The sequence below is a fragment of the Homo sapiens genome, chromosome 17 (genome assembly GCF_000001405.40).
Source record: "Homo sapiens chromosome 17, GRCh38.p14 Primary Assembly".
NCBI classification, from domain to species: domain Eukaryota; kingdom Metazoa; phylum Chordata; class Mammalia; order Primates; family Hominidae; genus Homo; species Homo sapiens.
The window spans coordinates 39,710,245-39,731,118 of record NC_000017.11 but is presented as its reverse complement, the minus strand read 5'-3'; the positions used below and the strand labels follow the sequence as shown (position 1 = coordinate 39,731,118).

At 53.2% G+C, this 20,874-nt stretch overlaps 2 protein-coding genes and 1 non-coding gene across 35 annotated transcripts in view, besides 2 other annotated features; 1 reads left to right on the top strand and 2 right to left on the bottom strand.

Annotated features, from left to right (window-relative positions):
• Window positions 346–905: a silencer, noted in NCBI's record as "silent region_8463". NCBI's record gives its function as "represses an Ori minimal core promoter by ATAC-STARR-seq in GM12878 lymphoblastoid cells {active_cell/tissue: GM12878}" and the evidence as "EXISTENCE:reporter gene assay evidence [ECO:0000049][PMID:35858748]".
• Window positions 587–2,609, top strand: MIEN1 (migration and invasion enhancer 1). 2 transcript variants are annotated; one of them, NM_032339.5, is made up of 4 exons: window positions 587–712; window positions 828–925; window positions 1,358–1,434; window positions 1,514–2,609. In NM_032339.5, the coding sequence occupies exons 1-4, from the start codon at window positions 624–626 to the stop codon at window positions 1,595–1,597; spliced, it is 348 nt and encodes a 115-aa protein (NP_115715.3). In that variant the 5' UTR covers window positions 587–623; the 3' UTR covers window positions 1,598–2,609. The 2 variants fall into 2 exon arrangements, with proteins under 2 accessions (NP_115715.3, NP_001317135.1); NM_001330206.2 differs by having other exon boundaries at window positions 1,358–2,609.
• The window catches only part of ERBB2 (erb-b2 receptor tyrosine kinase 2), a 40,565-nt gene continuing 22,151 nt past the window's right edge, over window positions 2,461–20,874 (bottom strand). For 10 of the 32 annotated variants that reach the window (NR_110535.2, NM_001382782.1, XM_047435590.1 and 7 more), the window contains 21 exons: window positions 20,638–20,779; window positions 19,072–19,191; window positions 18,671–18,797; window positions 15,760–15,833; window positions 15,583–15,673; window positions 15,180–15,379; window positions 14,686–14,818; window positions 14,514–14,604; window positions 13,639–13,799; window positions 11,285–11,332; window positions 7,662–7,800; window positions 7,459–7,581; window positions 7,109–7,207; window positions 6,208–6,393; window positions 5,915–6,070; window positions 5,717–5,792; window positions 5,266–5,412; window positions 4,460–4,557; window positions 4,116–4,304; window positions 3,572–3,824; window positions 2,461–3,430 (listed from right to left, as the gene is read on the bottom strand). Coding sequence is in view for 31 of the 32 variants with exons in the window: in NM_001382782.1 (NP_001369711.1) it covers window positions 3,075–3,430; window positions 3,572–3,824; window positions 4,116–4,304; window positions 4,460–4,557; window positions 5,266–5,412; window positions 5,717–5,792; window positions 5,915–6,070; window positions 6,208–6,393; window positions 7,109–7,207; window positions 7,459–7,581; window positions 7,662–7,800; window positions 11,285–11,332; window positions 13,639–13,799; window positions 14,514–14,604; window positions 14,686–14,818; window positions 15,180–15,379; window positions 15,583–15,673; window positions 15,760–15,833; window positions 18,671–18,797; window positions 19,072–19,191; window positions 20,638–20,779 (3,009 nt within the window). In the remaining variant the exon portion in view is untranslated. Of the gene's footprint in view, window positions 3,431–3,571; window positions 3,825–4,115; window positions 4,305–4,459; window positions 4,558–5,265; window positions 5,413–5,716; window positions 5,793–5,914; window positions 6,071–6,207; window positions 6,394–7,108; window positions 7,208–7,458; window positions 7,582–7,661; window positions 7,801–11,284; window positions 11,333–13,461; window positions 13,800–13,950; window positions 14,053–14,513; window positions 14,605–14,685; window positions 14,849–15,179; window positions 15,401–15,582; window positions 15,674–15,759; window positions 15,834–17,849; window positions 17,967–18,670; window positions 18,798–19,071; window positions 19,192–20,637; window positions 20,780–20,874 lie in introns of those variants that run through there. The other 22 variants (NM_001382802.1, NM_001382804.1, NM_001382784.1 and 19 more) reach the window with 21 other exon arrangements.
• Window positions 3,844–4,816: an enhancer, noted in NCBI's record as "H3K4me1 hESC enhancer chr17:37882556-37883528 (GRCh37/hg19 assembly coordinates)". NCBI's record gives its function as "activates a minimal SCP1, AML or CMV promoter by ChIP-STARR-seq in naive and primed H9 embryonic stem cells {active_cell/tissue: H9 hESC(naive and primed)}" and the evidence as "EXISTENCE:reporter gene assay evidence [ECO:0000049][PMID:30033119]".
• MIR4728 (microRNA 4728) lies at window positions 4,558–4,624 on the bottom strand. Its single transcript, NR_039881.2, has one exon. It is a non-coding gene; the product is annotated as a microRNA 4728 (primary transcript).

The following is a 20,874-nucleotide window of genomic DNA, read 5'->3' as shown; positions in this document are numbered from 1 at the left end:
ACCCTGTCTCTACTAAGAATACAAAATTAACCGGGTGCGGTGGCACGCGCCTGTAGTCCCAGCTACTCGGGAAGCTGAGGCAGAAGAATCGCTTGAACCCGGGAGGCAGAGGTTGCAGTGAACCGAGATCGCGCCATTGCACTCCAGCCTGGGCAACAAGAGCGAAACTCCGTCTCAAAAAAAAAAAAAAAAAAAATGCCATCGGCATGTTAGCGAGAAAATGTCAACTATTTCATGCATCAGCCACACCCACCCCCATCCCCAGGATGCTTGCCCCACCACTTTCTCTTTCTTTTGTAAACTGAAAAGCGCTTTGCAGTCTAAGATAGTCCATTAGAGTAAATGAAGCCATGAAGTCCAGCGGACACCGGGAGTGGGGAGTGGGGAAGCCCGGCACTCCGGGAGACCGGGCCAGGGAAGGAGGGTCTGGACCGGACCCAGCCCCTGCCCGGGGAGCGAGCTCCGGAGCTGCCCTACGAGGTCAAAACGTAGCAGTGGCGGAGACCCGCAGGGGGCGCCCGAACGCCACCCTCGGCCCCTCCCCGCTCCAGAGGCCCCGCCCCGTCACGTGCCCGCGGTTCGCGTCACACCCGGAAGCAGGGGCCCGAGCGGAGCCGGCCGCGATGAGCGGGGAGCCGGGGCAGACGTCCGTAGCGCCCCCTCCCGAGGAGGTCGAGCCGGGCAGTGGGGTCCGCATCGTGGTGGAGTACTGGTGAGCGGCCCCGGCTGGAGGACCCGCACCCTGGTCCCGCGGGCCGGACGGAGGTGGGTCCACGGGAGGCCCCACCCCCGAATCCCCAGCCCAGCCCCATCTCTTGACTCCCCAGTGAACCCTGCGGCTTCGAGGCGACCTACCTGGAGCTGGCCAGTGCTGTGAAGGAGCAGTATCCGGGCATCGAGATCGAGTCGCGCCTCGGGGGCACAGGTGAGGCTCGCAGAACACCTGCTGGGTCAGTCTGTGCTCTGAATCCCAGCTCTCCCGCTTTCTAGTTCTGACATTGGCTGCTTTATGTAAAGTGCCCGCAGTGCCTGGCACATGGTAAAATGTCCGGCCAACATGAGTTCCCTTCCATAGGTCAGGGGGTGTCACAGAGGCCTGTGGGGAAAAACCTATTAGACTGCAATCGTGTAGGGTTGGAGGGGAGGGAGTCCTTTATTGAGTGTTGCGAGGGGCACACAGGCGAGGCCTCCCTCAGGTTCCCTGGAGTTGACCCAGGGTTGGGGAATTGCTTAAGGAGCTACAAATGGGTCTCCAGTGGGATTGATGGGGGACTTGAAGGCGGGGGACCCCTTTGGAGGAACTCCTGACTTCTGCCTATGTTCTCAGTGTACCATTTATCTGTTGATTTCTTACCAGGTGCCTTTGAGATAGAGATAAATGGACAGCTGGTGTTCTCCAAGCTGGAGAATGGGGGCTTTCCCTATGAGAAAGATGTGAGTATTTACAGCGTTGGGAGGACCTCTTGGTCACCCTACCCCAACAGTGCATCATCCTGTCATTCCACTCCTCTAGCTCATTGAGGCCATCCGAAGAGCCAGTAATGGAGAAACCCTAGAAAAGATCACCAACAGCCGTCCTCCCTGCGTCATCCTGTGACTGCACAGGACTCTGGGTTCCTGCTCTGTTCTGGGGTCCAAACCTTGGTCTCCCTTTGGTCCTGCTGGGAGCTCCCCCTGCCTCTTTCCCCTACTTAGCTCCTTAGCAAAGAGACCCTGGCCTCCACTTTGCCCTTTGGGTACAAAGAAGGAATAGAAGATTCCGTGGCCTTGGGGGCAGGAGAGAGACACTCTCCATGAACACTTCTCCAGCCACCTCATACCCCCTTCCCAGGGTAAGTGCCCACGAAAGCCCAGTCCACTCTTCGCCTCGGTAATACCTGTCTGATGCCACAGATTTTATTTATTCTCCCCTAACCCAGGGCAATGTCAGCTATTGGCAGTAAAGTGGCGCTACAAACACTAATGCTAACTAGTGTGTGTTTTTATACGTCCAGTCTGGGAATGTGGGGGGCACAGAAGTCCGGTCAGCCCAGCCTTTGCACCGCCAGGGTGGCTGTGCTGGCTGGGTGGGCTTTCTGGACAGCTACTCCTTAGGTCAGTGAGCTCCTCTGGCATAGCCAAGGCAAGGAAAATGAGTCCCACAGTAGACCCTGCCTCGTCTTTCCCCCACCCTACCCACCACTCTCCTCACTCACAAGGAGGAAATAACCCCATTCTGGTGAGTGGCCTTAGGAATTAGTTCGTTCTAAATAAGAATGATCTGGTCGTCAAAGGGCTCTCAGATCTGAATCCAGCTTCCCGATCTCCCCCAACCCTGAAGCTGGAGAACTGGATGTCTGGCTCCTCATCCAAGCTTTCTGAAGATTCCCAGCCACTCCCTCCAGGAAAAGAGGAATTGAGTGTAAGGTGAGCAGGAAGGGATGGCACAGAGCCACCCCCAGACATAGGCCGGTGCCTAGCTGTTTTCCAAAATATATTTGCAAATGGACAAAGTGGGTGTGGAGAAGGACCCCCCACACTTGCCTCCCCATACAACACCCATTCTCCCCCTGGGTCTTTATTTCATCTTTAAAAAAACAAAACAAAAAAAGTAAAAACTAAACAGAAAAGCACTCTGTACAAAGCCTGGATACTGACACCATTGCTGTTCCTTCCTCATGGGGGGCAGTACTAGGTTTCAGGGACAGTCTCTGAATGGGTCGCTTTTGTTCTTAGACACTCCCTTAGGGCCGCTTCCCCTCTCAGGCCAGCTTCCCTAAGGCTTTCAGTACCCAGGATCTGGAAGGAAAGGGCCAAGCTGGGCTGTGGCATCCACTGGACCCTAGAGTCTCATTGGGCAGGGCCTCAGAATCCACAAAGACTCCCCAGTGCTGTTCCTCTTCCAACGAGGCTGGACCCCTTCCAGCCATCTGGGAACTCAAGCAGGAAGGAAGGTTCCTTAGGACAGGTTCCTGGCATGGCAGGTTCCCCTGGAAGTGGTCGGAGGGCCCTCCCACCTCTTGATGCCAGCAGAAGTCAGGCCTTCCCTGCTCCCTGAGGACACATCAGGGCTTCTGCGGACTTGGCCTTCTGGTTCACACTGGCACGTCCAGACCCAGGTACTCTGGGTTCTCTGCCGTAGGTGTCCCTTTGAAGGTGCTGGGTGGAGCCCCCCGCTCTGGTGGGTCCTGGTCCCAGTAATAGAGGTTGTCGAAGGCTGGGCTGAAGGCAGGAGGAGGGTGGGGCTGAGGGGCAGCTCCTCCCTGGGGTGTCAAGTACTCGGGGTTCTCCACGGCACCCCCAAAGGCAAAAACGTCTTTGACGACCCCATTCTTCCCTGGGGAGAGAGTCTTGGGCCTTTCCAGAGTGGCACCAGCAGGTCGGGCAGCAGGCAGAGGGCCCTCTCGGGGCGAAGGGGGCTGGGGCCGAACATCTGGCTGGTTCACATATTCTGAAAGGTCAAGAGAAGGTGACCCATTAGGGGAAGGAACCCCGGTGTCTCTGCCACTCCCTCTGCCCCCACAGTGGACCCTGGGCTGAAGGTCCCACCTCCCCTGCCCATCAGTCTCTCTGCTTAGACTGGACTCCATACCAGGCTGGGGGCTGCAGGTCAGGGGGGCAACGTAGCCATCAGTCTCAGAGGGCAGGGGTACTGTGGGGTCCTCACTGTACCGCTGTAGAGGGCTGGGGTCATGTGTGGGGAGGCTTTGCAGCCCCTTGGCTGCCCCCATTCCCAGGTCACCATCAAATACATCGGAGCCAGCCCCTTCGGAGGGTGCCAGTGGAGACCTGGGGGCCTCCTCTTCAGAGGGCTCCAGCCCTAGTGTCAGGTCCCCACCGCCACTCTGGGGACAAGAAAGAAAGTCATGATGGGGGTCACTCACGGATCTGGGATGGGGACTCCATGGAAGGTGACAGGGTCACAGGAGAAAAACAGAGGTCACCTTTGGGGTATGACACAGTCACCGTGGAGAGAATGGGGTCACAGGGGTTGGAAGGCAGTAAGAATTTTTTGTAGGGATAATGGGGTTTCCTTGAGAGGTGACAGTTGAGGGAACATCAGAGAAAGGGACCCTAGTCCACCGGGGTTGGGGGAGGTAAGCAGACAGCCACACAGTGTGACCGAGGGCACTGACCCTGGTAGATGAGCTGCGGTGCCTGTGGTGGACCATGCCCCCAGCGCCCGGGGCAGGGTCTGGACAGAAGAAGCCCTGCTGGGGTACCAGATACTCCTCAGCATCCACCAGGTCCCCCATGTCATCGTCCTCCAGCAGTGAGCGGTAGAAGGTGCTGTCCAAGGGACTGGCTGGGCCCAAGTCCTCATTCTGTGGAGGAAGGAGAGGCAGGATGGTGGCCCCTCCCCAGCCCAGCATGCAGCCTTCCGTGAGGGGCCTGGCATACTGGACTCATCTCTCCTTCCCACCCTCTGCAGGAGGGTGCTCTTAGCCACAGGCAGGGATGGGGCACAGAGGCCCAGTACCTGGATGACCACAAAGCGCTGGGGGTCCCTGGCCATGCGGGAGAATTCAGACACCAACTCCCGGAATCTTGGCCGACATTCAGAGTCAATCATCCAACCTGGGGCAGGAGGGAGGTCAGCATGCTAGTCCCAGGCCCTGTGTGCTTGCTGCCTCTCCCCTCCCACTCCCCCTCCAGTCTGGTCTAGACAGTCCCAAGGGACAGCCCAAAGCCCTCAGGTGGTAGAGAAGTAGCACCAGACTCTGGGGTCTTCAGCCAGAACCTTTGGCATCTCTTCTAGTTTCCCTTTTAATTTTTTTTTTCTTTTTGTTTGCTTTTTTATTTTTTTGAGATGAGGTTTCGCTCTGTCACCCAGGCTGGATTTCAGTGGTGCAATCATAGCTTACTGCAACCTTAAACTAGGCTCAAGTGATCTTCCTGCCTCAGCCTCTCCTGAGTAGCTGGGACTACTGGCACACACCACCACACCCAGATAATTTTTTTATTTTTTGTAGAGATAGGATCTCACTATGTTGCCCAGGCTGGTCTTGAACTCCTGGCTTCAAGGGATCCTCCCACCTCAGCCTCCAAAAGTACTGGGATTACAGGCATGAGCCACTGTGCCCAGCTTAATTTTGTACAAGAGTGTTCCTCAAGAGTGGCTTTGGACTTTGACTGTAAAAGGGATACAAGAAGGTTTTGAGGCTCCTAACATACTAGGGCTCCTGGGTCTACATACATCCTGGTCCCCTTTCATGCCCCTTGTGGGCTCCTCCACCCAGGACCTCCCACCCTCCTCCAGGCAGCCAGCACAGCTCAGCCACGCACATTTGACCATGATCATGTAGACATCAATGGTGCAGATGGGGGGCTGGGGCAGCCGCTCCCCCTTTTCCAGCAGGTCAGGGATCTCCCGGGCTGGGATCCCATCGTAAGGTTTGGCCCCAAAAGTCATCAGCTCCCACACAGTCACACCTAAGGCAGAGACAGGGTCAGGAGTGGGAGGGCCAGAGGGAGCTTTAGTGTACTGAGCCAGAGGTTCTGCTCAGGAGTCTAGCATCATGGCAGGTAGCAGGGGGAGATGTGATGCCAGGAGACAGACCCTACCCGGTCTTTCCCTAATCCTGGGAAGTGCACAGACCCTGCAAGGTGGGGCACAGGCAGCCCCTTCCCTCCCTTCACATGCTGAGGTGGCCCCGTAATTCTCCCCATCCCAGCTCTCATCCTCCCTCCAGCCATGGCTCCTCACCCACCCCTCCCAACACCCCCCATCACACACCATAACTCCACACATCACTCTGGTGGGTGAACCGCCGGCGGAGAATGGACTCCAGCGCCATCCACTTGATGGGCACCTGGGAGGGCAGAAGAGGAAGTCCTCCAACTGTGTGTTGTGGGGAGGTGGCCACTCAGAGTTCTCCCATGGGCTAGACACCACTCCACCCAGCCTCCTCTGCTCCTTGGTCCTTCACCTAACCTTGCCCCCATCTGCATGGTACTCTGTCTCGTCAATGTCCAGCAGCCGAGCCAGCCCGAAGTCTGTAATTTTGACATGGTTGGGACTCTTGACCAGCACGTTCCGAGCGGCCAAGTCCCTGTGTACGAGCCGCACATCCTCCAGGTAGCTCATCCCCTGGAATGGGAAGCACCCATGTAGACCTTCTGGGAGGGCCTGGGCCTGGCCACATGCCCAGCAAGAGTCCCCATCCTAGCCCCTTGTGGACATAGGGGTTTGCTCCGGAGAGACCTGCAAAGAGCCCAGGTGCATACCTTGGCAATCTGCATACACCAGTTCAGCAGGTCCTGGGAGCCCAGGCGTCCGCGGTTTTCCCGGACATGGTCTAAGAGGCAGCCATAGGGCATAAGCTGTGTCACCAGCTGCACCGTGGATGTCAGGCAGATGCCCAGAAGGCGGGAGACATATGGGGAGCCCACACCAGCCATCACGTATGCTTCCTGGGGACAAGGGTACGCTGAGAGGGTATGGGAGACCACACACCCCCAAACACCACACAGCCTCCCAACCATCACAAACCACAGCCATGGCCCACAGCCTGTGAAGGCTCAAAGTACCAGCCTGGACAACATGGTGAAACCCTGTCTCTACTAAAAATACAAAGATTAGGCCGGGCACGGTGGCTCACACCTGTAATCCCAGCACTTTGGGAGGCCGAGGCGGGCGGATCATGAGGTCAGGAGTTTGACACCAACCTGGCCAACATGGTGAAATCCCATCTCTACTAAAAATACAAAAATTAGCCGGGCGTGGTGGCTCGCGCCTGTAATCCCAGCTACTCAGGAGACTGAGGGAGAAGAATCGCTTTAACCTGGGAGGCTGAGCTGAGACCGCACCATTTCACTCTAGCCTGGGTGACAGAGCGAGACTCTGTCTCAAAAAAAAAAAAAAAATTAGCGGGCGCTTGTAATCCCAGCTACTCAGGAGCCTGAGGCATGAAAATCGCTTGAGTCCAGGAGGTGGAGGTTGCAGTGAGCCGAGATAACGCCACTGCACTCCAGCCTGGGTGACAGAGCAAGACTCCGTCTCCAAAAAAATAGTCTAGGTTTGCGGGAGTCATATCTCCCCAAACCCCAATGAAGAGAGACCAGAGCCCAGACCTGCAGCCATGGGGTCCTTCCTGTCCTCCTAGCAGGAGAGGGTGGAGGGGCTTACGTCTAAGATTTCTTTGTTGGCTTTGGGGGATGTGTTTTCCCTCAACACTTTGATGGCCACTGGAATTTTCACATTCTCCCCATCAGGGATCCAGATGCCCTGGGCAGAAAGAGGAGGATATGAGTGAGAAGAGCGTGGGCTGGATCCTACCTGCCTTCCAGGAGATCATTACTTGTCCTCCAAACATCCTTCACCACCCTAGGGCTTGGCCCCGCTCCCTTCTCCGCTGTAACTGCCCTCCCCCAAACACTGCCTCCAGCTCTTGCCCCTCCCATCAGAACTGCCGACCACACCCCTCCAGGCACCGCCCCCATCCTCTGGGGCCGCCCACCCCAGGACCTGGCCCTGACCTTGTAGACTGTGCCAAAAGCGCCAGATCCAAGCACCTTCACCTTCCTCAGCTCCGTCTCTTTCAGGATCCGCATCTGCGCCTGGTTGGGCATCGCTCCGCTAGGTGTCAGCGGCTCCACCAGCTGGGGTGAGGGGGTGGTGGGTCAGTGCCGGGGGCCGGTGCAGACCCCACGCGGGCTGGGAGGACTTCACCCCGCCTCACCTCCGTTTCCTGCAGCAGTCTCCGCATCGTGTACTTCCGGATCTTCTGCTGCCGTCGCTTGATGAGGATCCCAAAGACCACCCCCAAGACCACGACCAGCAGAATGCCAACCACCGCAGAGATGATGGACGTCAGAGGGCTGGGGGCGGAAGCCAGGGTCAGGGATTGAGGGCTAGTTTGGGGTGGGAGGGACAAAGGGGGCCCACGGGGGACATGAAGGTGTTTGGCATTCGGAAAGGGAAGTCGGAAGGGTGACCCACAGGCTTGGACCCTCTCCTACTCTAAAACCTGCCTTGGCTCCCCGCTGCCTCCACAATAAAGTCCAAACTCCTTGTAGGCAATCAGAACCCTCTCCGCATCTCCAGATTCTCTATACTCTTGCCCTTGGCTCTGGCTTAGGGCTTCAACAATTCATGGTGTAAAAATCACTAAGGACTCTGGGCGCGGTGGCTCATGCCTGGAATCCTAGCACTTTGAGAGTCTGAGGTGGGCAGATCACAAGGTCAGGAGTTCGAGACCAGCCTGGCCAACATAGTGAAACCCCCGTCTCTACTAAAAATACACACACACAAAAATTAGCTGGGCGTGGTGTGGGTGCCTGTAATCCCAGCTACTTGGGAGACTGAGGCAGGAGAATCGCTTGAACCCGGGAGACAAGAGGTTGCAGTGAGCTGAGATTGTGCCACTGCACTACGGCCAGTGCAAGACTCCATCTCAAAAAAAAAAAAGTCACTAAGGAGACTGTTAATACACATGCCCCTCAACACCAAGGGGCTACGTCCTGATAAACCAATTCTAAGTTGAAACTGAAAATGCATTTAAGACACCTAGCCTGGCTTACACGTGCTCAGAACATTTACACTGCCAGCAGCTTACAGTTGGGCAGAATCATCTGACACAAAGCCTATTTTATAGTAAACTGTTAAATAAGTTTGTGTTATTTATTTATTTATTTTTGAGACAGGGCCTTGCTGTGTTGCCCAGGCTGAGTGCAGTGGTGAGATCATGGCCCACTGCAGCCCTGACCTCTGGGCTCAAGCAGTCTTTCCACCTCAGCTGCCCAAGTAGCTGGGACTACAGACACACGCCACCACACTCAGCTAGTTTTTTTATTTTTTGTAGAAATGGGGTCTCACTATGTTGCCCAGGCTGGTCTCGAGCTTCTGGCCTCAAAGGATCCTCCCACCTTGGCCTCCTAAAGTGCTGGGATTACAGGTGTGAGCCACGGTGCCTGGCTATGTAATTTATTGAATACTGAAAGTAGGGCTGGGCATGGTGGCTTGAGGCTGAGATGGGCAGATCACCTGAGCTCTCGAGTTCGAGACCAGCCTGACTAACATGGAGAAACCCCGTCTCTACTAAAAATACAAAATTAGCCGGGTGTGGTGGTGCCTGCCTGTAATCCCAGCCACTCTGGAGGCTGAAGCAGGAGAATCGTTTGAACCTGAGAGGTGGAGGTTGCGGTGAGCCAAGACTGCGCCATTGCACTCCAGCCTGGGTAACAACAGCAAAATGACATCTCAAAATAAATAATAAATAAATAAATAAATAAAAATAAAAGTGAAAAACAGAATGGCTGTATGGGTATTCAAAGTACGGTTTATACTGAATGTATATTATTGCTTTTCCACCATTGTAAAGTCAAAAAATCCTAAGTAATATCACAAATCAGCACACAGTCTGTATGCATACAATTTTGGGGCCCCACCCCCAGAGATTCTGACTGCTGCATGGGTACAGGAATGTACACCTGATGATTTTGATGTTCTAGCCAAAATTTCCACCCACAGGTCATGATTTTCCACACCTCCCAGTGTTTGCATAGGCTGTCCCTTCAGCCTGGACCACCATTTCTCCACAGGGTCATCTTTTAAGACTCGGCTCCGCCAGGCACGATGGCTCACACCTGTAATCCCAGCACTTTGGGAGGCCGAGGCAGGTGGATCACCTGAGGTCAGCAGTTCAAGACCAGCCTGGCCAACATGGCAAAACCTCATCTCTACTAAAAATACAAAAATTAGCCGGACGTGGTAGCGCATGCCTGTAATCCCAGCTACTGGGGGGCTGAGACAGGAGGATTGCTTGAACTGCTTGAACCTGGGAGGCAGAGGTTGCAGTGAGCCAAGATCGTGTCATTGCACTCCAGCCTGGGCAACAGAGCAAGACTCCATATCAAAAAAAAAAAAAAAAAAAAAAGACTTGGCTCATCGCCAGGAGTGGTGGCTCACTCCTGTGATCCCAACATTTTGGGAGGCCAAAACTGGAGGATCACTTGAGCCCACGAGTTTGAGACCAGCTCGGGCAACATAGTGAGACCCTGTCTATACAAAAAAAATTTTTTAAATTACCCAGGCGTGGTGGCACGCTCCTATAGTCCCAGCTACTGCAGAAGGGTAACTTGAGCCCAGGAGGTCAAGGCTGCAGTGAGCCTGTGATTACACCACCACATTCAAGACTGGACAAGAGAGCAAGACCCTGTCTCAATCACTCAATAAAAAGATAGCGTATCTGGCTGGGCACGGTGGCTCATGTCTGTAATCCCAGCACTTTGGGAGGCCAAGGTGGGCGGATCTTGAGGTCAAGAGATCGAGACCATCCTGGCCAACATGGTGAAACCCCGTCTCTACTAAAAATACAAAAATTAGCTGGGTGTGGTGGCATGTGCCTGTAATCCCAGCTACTTGGGAGGCTGAGGCACAAGAAGCGCTTGAACCCAGGAGGCAGAGGTTGCAGTGAACCGAGATGGAGCCACTGCACTCCAGCCTGCAGGCAGAGTGAGACTCCGTCTCAAAAAAATAAAAAAAAGATAGTGCATCCTGGGATAGATGGAGCTCCCGGGTGTTGATCCAATATTCTTGTCACCCTCTCCTCTCCATACCCCCTTGCTTAGCACAGGGTCTGGTACATACCAAGCCTGTAACACATGCTCATTTCACGGACCGATGATCGCCTAAGACAGACTCCAGTCTGTTTTTCTCCCCAAAGTCCTTTCCAAAGGTCCCCACTGCCCAGTCAAGTCCCACCCTGTGGCTTGGGGATCAGGTCCTATGGCATCCAGGTCAGACCCCACCCTGACTCTAACTTGACCCCCTTATTCCTGTGCTTACTCAACAGCCCCCGACACCAGAACTTTGAAGACATCCTGGATTTCCTGATGCCTCCCCCTCCAGTGTCACCTTGCACCCCAATGCTTTCTACCTAAATGCAAGTGCAATACCTGCTCCTCTCTCAAAGCCTAGCTCAAATGCCACCTCCCACTCGAAGCCTCCCACCATCCCCAGTTAAGAATTCATCACTCCCTCAGTGCTGCAGCTGTACTCTTCTCAGTCTCCCTTGACTTCCAAGGAATTGAACTTTGCCTGTGTCCCTCACAAGGCATCAAGTTACTCTAGGGTGTGGAGGGACTGGGTTTCCTAGCCATCTTTCCTTGCAGTCCCCTCCCCTCAGCATCTGAGCAGGTCCTCTGTCACTTGGTGAAGTGGAAAATGACAGGAGGTTCCACAGTGGAAGAGTGGGTGGGAAGGGACATATGTCAGGGGGTCCCCTCCCTACAGCAGTGACCACCCAGCATCCAGTGGGGGAGTGAAGGGCAATGAAGGGTACATCCTGGGGTCCAGGCCAACCTGGCTCTCTGCTCGGCGGGGCAGCCCTTGTCATCCAGGTCCACACAGCTGCAGGAGAAACAGTCTCATCAACAATTCTGGGAACCACCCTCTTGGGAACCACCTTTCCAGCCTCACAACAACCCTGGGAGGGGTGTGGCTGGGTCATTATCCCCATTTGACAAAGGCAGAAACTGGGCTCAAGGCCGTCAGTGCTCCTTCTACCACCTCACAAGGAGACTCCTTCTCCAGCCAAGGAACCGGCATGCCCCGCTCCCCTGCAGCTCCTTGTGGTGGATAGGAAGCGGGGAGGGGCACCCAGAAGAGCAAGCCCGGGAGCTCAACTATTCCCTCCATAGAAGAATCCCAGGGTAAACCCATACCACTTCTCCAGAGAACGGTTTGGCAATACCTATGAAATATCATCTATGACCCAGCAGTTCCTCCTCTGAATATAGACTGTACATACTGTTTGCAAATGCTTTTTTCACTTAGCAGAATCTTGCAATGTTTTTCCATGTTCTAACACCGTGATCTGGATCTAGGATCCATATGGATCTGGACCCATATTCTTTTTTTTTTTCTTTTTTTTCTTGAGAAGGAGTTGCACTGTGTTGCCCAGGTTGGAGTGCACTGGTGCAATCTCGTCTCACTGCAACCTCCGCTGCCCAGGTTCAAGCAATTCTCCTGTCTCAACCTCTCAAATAGCTGGGATTACAGGCGCCCACCACCACGCCTGGCTAATTTTTGTATTTTTAGTAGAGACGGGGTTTTGCCATGTTGGCCAGGCTGGTCTTGAACTCCTGACCTCAGGTGATCTGCCTGCCTCGGCCTCCCAAAGTGCTGGGATTACAGGCGTGAGCCACCATGCCCAGCCTGGATCCATATTCTTTTAATTTTTCTCATTTAGTTGTCTTTAAATTGAAATGCATGAATATATCCTTGTGATAAACATTGCCAGCACTGTATTCCCACTAGGGGGCATACAAAAGAGGGCTCACTTGTGTGTGGAGCTCAATTGCAATAAACTGCAAAAACAGGGAAACAAGCTCAATATCCCTCAAAAACAAAGTGAAATTACATCCATGTTACAGGTTGAGTAATTAAAAAAAAAATAAAGGTGGTAGATCCGTCTGTACTCACAAGAAAGGATACCTCAAGTCGGGGGGAAAGCAAAGTGCAGAACAGCATCACCACACCTGGCTAGTTTTTGTATTTTTAGTAGAGACGGGGTCTCGCTATGTTGGCCAGATTGGTCTCGAACTCCTGATCTCAAGTGATCTGCCTGCCTCAGCCTCCCAAAGTGCTGGGATTACAGGTGTGAGTCACTGCGCCCAGGCTCTTGACACTTTTTGGTTTACACAAACAGCAATCTTATTTGACTCGACCTAATATAAATGTAGTATGTCTATATAAGTGTGCAGAAAAGAGCCTGGAAGGGTGAACACACAAGTCAATGCGGTGGTTCTCCCAGCAGACAGGAGAGACTGGGTGGACAGGGAGTTGAGTGAAAGGGCACGTTGGCTTTGTAACATTTATACTTTTATGTTACTGAAAATGTTTATCACAAGGATGTATTCATGTGTTTCATGTGTAAAGACAACTAAATAAGAAAAATTAAAAGAATAAGGTAGATCACCATGTTAGAACATGGAAAAACATTTCAAGGTTCTGGAAAGTGAGAAAAAGCAATTTGCAAACAATATGTATGATCTATGATTCTATTTGTTAAAAAGAAATATATGACTGGGCATGGTGGCTCACCGCTGTAATCCCAACACTTTGGGGGACCGAGGCTGGCAGATCACCTGAGGTCAGGGGTTCGAGACCAGCCTGGCCAACATGGTGAAATCCTATGTACTAAAAATACAAAAATTAGCCAGGCAAGGTAGCACGTTCCCGTAATCCCAGCTACTCAGGAGGCGGAAGCAGGAGAATTGCTTAAACCCAGGAGGTGGAGGCTGCAGTGAGCCAAGATTGTACTACTGCACTCCAGCCTGGGCGACAGAGTGAAACTCCGTCTAAAAATACATATGTGTGTGTGTGTGTGTGTGTGTGTGTGTGTTAAAATGTGCACAGATAAAAATAACTGGAGAATAATATTAATATATGTTAACTTATATATACATATTAGAATGTGCACAGACAAAAATAACTAGAGGAAAAATATTTCAAATTATTAACAGTGGGGATAGAACTGCTAGGGCATTAATTTATATTTCATGTTTTAATTTTACAATTTTAACAATGTGTTATTTTTGTCATCAGAAACAAGATATGACAAAGGGAGAGTTGGTCCCCTTTTATAGTAAGAGCCCCAGAAAGACCCCTGAAAGGAAAGTCCTCCTTTCTGCAGAAAAGACCGTTGGACTCACGAGTGGGTGCAGTTGATGGGGCAAGGCTGGCATGCGCCCTCCTCATCTGGAAACTTCCAGATGGGCATGTAGGAGAGGTCAGGTTTCACACCGCTGGGGCAGCGGGCCACGCAGAAGGGAGGGTCCTTATAGTGGGCACAGGCCACACACTGGTCAGCCTCCTGGGGGGGGCAGAAAAGATTTGTGGGGGGCTGGCACTGACACCCCCAGGGCAGTAGGATCAGGCCCTTAGTTGGGTCCCCTTTGTGCTTCCCAAGGCCACCCAGCAGCAATTTTCGCCATGCTCCTGGGACAAACACCCTTGCTCTTCACCCAGTCTCTGTGGCCCCTCCCTCGGGGCCCTCCTCCAAGCTTGATCCTGGGCAGGGACTTGAGCCAGAAAATGGGAGGCACCCAGAGAGGAAAACGCATTACCTAAGGTGTAACAGCGAGTAACAACAGTCACTGCTCTGTAGAAAGCCTTTCCCGTGCTTCACTGTGCCAAGCCCTGTTTAATTTCATTCTTGCCACACCCCAGCAAGGTAGGTATTATTACAATACCCATTTTAGGAATAAAAAACCAAGGTTGGAAGCAGGAGCTGGGTCTGAATCCAGGTAGTCTGACGCCTGAGCCCACAGGGCTCACCACCCTAGCACAGCCACAGTCACAGCCACCAACACAGACCTCCTTAGAACCTTTTCATAGTCTGAAGGGCCCCAGTGTCCCCCAGGCCCCTTTTCTGCCACTCTGTTGCTGTTCAGGTCTGAGCGCTGAGCCCTCTCCAGGGATATTTTACCAGATAGCACACCCTACTGCATCTCGCCATCCTGCCAAGTCCCTGGCAATCCCCCTCGCTGCCCCCCTCCACCCAGCTCTGAGCCCGCCAGCAGCTCACCGGTCCAAAACAGGTCACTGAGCCATTCTGGGGCTGACACTCAGGGTGGCACGGCAAACAGTGCCTGGCATTCACATACTCCCTGGGGAGCCTGAGAGAAGGGACAGTGGTGAGGGGGTCTGAGAGGAGCCCCATGCACCCCTCCAGCCACCCTCTCCTCCGCCCCTCATACCCCTGCAGTACTCGGCATTCCTCCACGCACTCCTGGCCCCGAAGGAACTGGCTGCAGTTGACACACTGGGTGGGCCCTGGACCCCAGCAGTGCCCTCGGGCGCACAGCTGGTGGCAGGCCAGGCCCTCGCCCACTGCAGTGAGGAGGAAGGGACCGCAGGGGACTTTTAGGGGAGGCCCCAGGTCCAAGTGAACCAGGGAACTGGCTGTGGGCATGGCTGTGGGCTGGAGGGGTGGGGACAGGTGGGGCCGATGTAGGGAGAGGAAGAGTTCTGAGATTTCAGAAACAGAGGGGGAGGGAAGGATGCCAAGGCAGGTAGGACCCAGCTAGAGAAGCCATGCCAAGAGGCCAAGCCAGCCAGAGCTGTGCTGAGTCAAGAAGGGTGCACAGAGACGGGCAGTCTGCACAAGTCCAAGAACGCTGCTGCCAGGGCCCCCTGGGCACTGCTGTGTGCTGGCAGATGGGGAGTGCGCACACTGGGCTCCCTGTCTTACCACACTCGTCCTCTGGCCGGTTGGCAGTGTGGAGCAGAGCTTGGTGCGGGTTCCGAAAGAGCTGGTCCCAGGGCACCGTGTGCACGAAGCAGAGGTGGGTGTTATGGTGGATGAGGGCCAGTCCACTGCCCAGTTCCCTCAGTGAGCGCAGCCCCAGCCAGCTGATGCCCAGCCCTTGCAGGGTCAGCGAGTAGGCGCCACTATGGGAGAAAGGTGGGCACCTTACCACGGACCCCTTCCCGGTCAGCAAAGGCTATTCTCATCTTCCTCCATCCCCAGCACACTCTGCAGACTTTCATGGAAAGGTTACTGCTACAGGAGTACTCCCTCAGGCCCAAAGCTTCCCACAGGGACTCCTCCCTGGGACTCCTCCCCATCAGGCCCCCTCTTTCTCAGTGCTCACTTGTGCAGAATTCGTCCCCGGATTACTTGCAGGTTCTGGAAGACGCTGAGGTCAGGCAGGCTGTCCGGCCATGCTGAGATGTATAGGTAACCTGCAGGCAGAGGGTGAGATTAAAGGAGTGGGGACAGGACAAGGACTCCCAGCCCCTGCAGAACAGGATGCAGAGACAGAGCCCACCTGTGATCTCTTCCAGAGTCTCAAACACTTGGAGCTGCTCTGGCTGGAGCGGGGCAGTGTTGGAGGCTGGGTCCCTGGAGGGGTCAGGAGAGGAGTCAGCAGGGCCAGGAACAGGGTGGACATCACTCCCAGCACTGGCCATGCCAGCCACTCCCCACCATGAATGCCTTCACTCAAACCCTTTGCCCATCGAGCCCAGCTGTTCCCATCCTGGGCTTCAAAGCCCAGGCCTTAGTTCGGCAACATCTATCAAAACAGTATTTATATCCTTTGATCTAGAAATCTTATTTCTGCCTGGGCTCAGTGGCTCACGCCTGTAATCCCAGCACTTTGGGAGGCCGAGGCGGGCGGATCACGAAGTCAAGAGATGGAGACCATCCTGGCCAACATGGTGAAACCCCATCTCTACTACAAATACAAAAATTAGCTGGGTGTGGTGCCGCGCGCCTATAGTCCCAGTTACTCGAGAGGCTGAGGCAGGAGAATCACTTGAACCCGGGAGGCAGAGGTTGCAGTGAGCCGAGATCACACTACTGCACACCAGCCTGGCGATAAAGCGAGACTCTGTCTCAAAAAAAAAAAAAAAAGAAAAGAAATCTTATTTCTAGGAATGTGGCCTAGGGAGACACTGGCCCATGTTCCCAGAGCCACACACAAAGTGGAACTGTTTGTAAGAGTGAAAATGGAACATGATCTAAATGTCTATTAGTAAATAGGGGAGCTGTTAAATAAAACCCCGAGCCACCCAGCCACATAATAAAAACCAACATTTAGGAGCACCTAGTATCTGCCAGGCACTGTTCTAAGAGCTTTACAAATATTAACTCATTCAAACTTTATAATCATCTGGCCAGGCATGGTGGTATAACCATCTTATGAAGTTGGGACTGTTCTTGCCCCCACTTTACAGATGAAGAAACTGAGGCACAGCACAAGGGTCACATGCCTAGTAAGTGGTAGAGCCGGGTTTCAAACCCAGGCAGTCTGGCTCCCAAGTCTGGGCTCTTAGCTGCCTCTCCTTGCCGCCACCTGCTCTGCAGCTATTGAAAGAACAAGGCAGTTCAATGGGAACTGTCATGACCGGCTCTCAAAGCAAGGTGCAGACAGTGCTCCCTATATGTTCCCATTTACAGAAACCAACCTCCCCACCAAAACGACGAAAACCACACTTCACTGTGTGTGTGTCTACAGATGCATAAACGGTCTAGGTGAACACACACACTGTTAACCATGGCCCCCTCTGGAAAGGGGAGTGGAGGTAAAGGAAGTGTGAAAGGGAATTTTTTTTTTTTTTTTTTTTTTGAGACAGGGTCTCATTCTGTCACCCAGGCTGGAGTACAGTGACATGATTTCAACCCACTGCAACCTCCACCTCCCAGGCTCAGGTGATTCTCCCACCTCAGTCTCCCTAGTAGCTGAGACTACAGGTGCGTACCACCATGCCCGGCTAATTTTTTGTGTTTTTTTGTAGAGATGGGATCTCACTATGTTGCCCACGCTGTTCTTGAATTCCTGGGCTCAAGCAATCTTCCTGCTTCAGCCTCCCAAAGTGCTGGGATTACAGGTGTGCACCACGGCGCCTGACCCTTTTTTTTTTTTTTCTTTTTGAGACAGGGTCTCACTCTGTCGCCCAGGCTGGAGTGCAATAGCGAAATCTCAGCTCACTACAACCTCCACCTCCCGAGTTCATGCAATTCTCCTGCCTCAGCCTCCCAAGTAGCTGGGATGATAGGCGCATGCCAGGAAGCCTGGCTAATTTTTTATATTTTTTAGTAGAGATGGGGTTTCACCATGTTGGCCAGGCTGGTCTTGAACTCCTGACCTCAAGTGATCTGCCTGCCTCGGCCTCCCAAAGTGCTGGGATTACAGGCGTGAGCCACCGTGCCTGGCCCCAATTCATTTCTTATTGAAGTATAACTTATATACAATAAAATGCACCGGGTGTGGTGGCTCATGCCTGTAATCCCAGCACTTTGGGAGGCTGAGGTGGGCGGATCACGACGTCAAGAGATCGAGACCATCCTTGCCAACATGGTGAAACCCCATCTCTATTAAAAATACAAAAATTAGCTGGGCATGGTGGCACACACCTGTAGTCCCAGCTACTCAGGAGACTGAGGCAGGAGAATTGCTTGAATCCAGGAGGCAGAGGTTGCAGTGAGCCAAGATCGTACCACTGCACTCCAGCCTGCTGACAGAGTGAGACTCTATCTCAAAAAATAAAATGAAATAAATAAAATGCACAGACTCTTATCACACAGTTTGATGAGTTTTGACAAATGGATTCGCTCATGTATCCACTACCCCAATCACTATACAGAGCATTTCTATTACCCCAGAAATGTCCTTGTGTGCCTCCCTTTTGAAGCCCCCCACCCTGGGGCAACCACCGTTCTGATCTCTCCCACCACAGAGTGGTTTTTTCGGTTCAGAGCCTCACATAAAGGGGATCAGACAGTATGGAATCTTGTCTCTGGCTTCTTTTGCTCAATGTAATGTTTCTGAGATTCATTTATGTTGTATCGGTAGTTCATTTCCTTTGGTTGCTAAGTAGAACTTCACCAAATGGATACACTGCCACTTGTTTATTCCTTCACCTAGTGATGCACATTTGAGTTATTTCCAATTTGGGGATATTTTGAATAAAGCTGCTATGAACTCAAAGGGAATTTTACTTTATCTAGATGGTCTGACCTCCATACAAGTCCTTGTTCACGGATAGCATGTCATTTACAAAAATAATCACCCCCACCCACCAAAGGCCCTGCTCCTCTGGTCTCCCATCTGCTTTCTTTGCATTCTTGATCCCCCCACTTCTGTCTCCTGCCATCCCCAAGAGATGCTGCCACATCTGGATCCTCAGGACTCTGTCTGCCCTGACACTGTCTCAGGTCATCGTGCCCACTCTTACCCATCAAAGCTCTCCGGCAGAAATGCCAGGCTCCCAAAGATCTTCTTGCAGCCAGCAAACTCCTGGATATTGGCACTGGTAACTGCCCTCACCTCTCGCAAGTGCTCCATGCCCAGACCATAGCACACTGAGGAGGTGGGGGTGGGTGGGGAAGGGGCCGTCTCAGCCTTCATACCGGGACAGGTCAACAGCCACATGAGCATCAGGGTCCGGGCCCCTCCCCACACTGACAGGGGATATAGGGACACTTGTAGGGCTGAGGGGGGCCAGGGGTAGAGAGTAGAAGGCAGAGACTAGGTCCCAAGAGGGTCTGAGGAAGGATAGGACAGGGTGGGCTGGGCCAGGCTGCATGCGCAGAGGGACAGGAACTGCAGCTGGCCTCGGGGGCAGTGAGTGGGTACCTCGGGCACAGGGCTTGCTGCACTTCTCACACCGCTGTGTTCCATCCTCTGCTGTCACCTCTTGGTTGTGCAGGGGGCAGACGAGGGTGCAGGATCCCACGTCCGTAGAAAGGTAGTTGTCTAAGGAGATCAGGAACATGTAGCCACATACCCTGGCCCTTCGTGCACCACCATGAGCAGCATTACCGTGCCCAGGCACAAGAAGAATAATATCAACCAATACTTAAATGCCCTACCACGCATCAGCACCTGACATCCATTTACCCCTCACAACAACCAGACGGGATCAGCACTGTGAGATTCCCATTTTGCAAAAAGGGAGACCAAAGCAGAGAGTTCTGTAAATTATTCAAGGTCATTGTGCTAGTGAGTGGAGGAGCGAGGATTTGAACCCAAATGGTCTGGCTCTACATTTTGTCCTCTCCCTAACACAGTCAGCCAGGATCTGAAGGCCCACTCCTGTTCCTGTGAGAGGAGGAAAGAGGTTCCCCAGGTCTGAGCCCAGTCCATAAACGCCCATCAGTAAATAGGTGATCTGTTAAATAAAACTGAGCTAGGCCAGGCACGATGGCTCATGCCTGTAATCCCAGCACTTTGGGAGACCAAGGCGGGTGGATCACTTGAGGTCAGGAGTTCGAGACCAGCTTGGCCAACATAGTGAAACTCCGTCTCTACTAAAAATACAAAAATTACCCAGCCATGGTGGTGCATGCCTGTAGTTCCACCTACTCAAGAGTCTGAGGCACAAGAATTGCTTGAATGCGGAAGGCAGAGGTTGCAGTGAGCCAAAATTGCACCACTGCACTCCAGCCTGGGCAATGGAGCGAGACTCTGCCAAAAAAAAAAAAGTCCGGGTGCAGTGGCTCACGCCTGTAATCCCAGCACTTTCAGAGGCCGAGGCAGGTGGATCGCCTGAAGTCAGGAGTTCGAGACCAGTCTGGCCAACGTGGTGAAACCCTGTCTCTACTAAAAATACAAAATTTAGCGAGGCATGGTGGTGGGCGCCTGTAATCCCAGCTACTCAGGAGGCTGAGACACGAGAATAGCACGAACCTGGGAGGCGGAGGTTGCAGTGAGCCGAGATCGCGCCACTGCGATAGAGCTAACTAAATTCGGTCTCAAAAACAAAACGAAAGGTAAAACTGACCTCACCAGGCTATAGAATAAAAGCTAACATTTAGGAGCACTTAGTACATACCAGGCACCGTTCTAAGAGCTTTACAAATATTAACTCTTTCAAATGTTATAACCATCTTATGCAGTTGGGACTATTCTTGCCCCCATTTTACTGATGAGGAAACTGAGGCACAGCAAGAGGGTCACGTGCCTACTAATTGATAGAGCTGGGTTTCAAACCCAGGCAGTCTGGCTCCCAAGTCTGGGCTCTTAGCTGCCTCTCCTTACTGCCACCTGCTCCACAGCTGTTGAAAGAACAAGGCAGCTCGGCAGGAACTGTCATGACCAGCTCTCAAAGCAAGATGCAGACAGTGCTCCCCATATGCTCCCATTTACAGAAACAAACCTCCCCACCAAAATGAGAAAACTGTGTTTCTCCCTGGCACTCACAGGGACAGGCAGTCACACAGCTGGCGCCGAATGTATACCGGCCCTCGGGATTGGGCATGGACTCAAACGTGTCTGTGTTGTAGGTGACCAGGGCTGGGCAGTGCAGCTCACAGATGCCACTGTGGTTGAAGTGGAGGCAGGCCTGGGGGGACAGGTGGCTGGCTTTCACTGTGCTGTTTTGCCCTGGTGTGCCAGGGGCAATAGGGCAGTACCAGGCAGGGTGCCCACCCCTTGCAT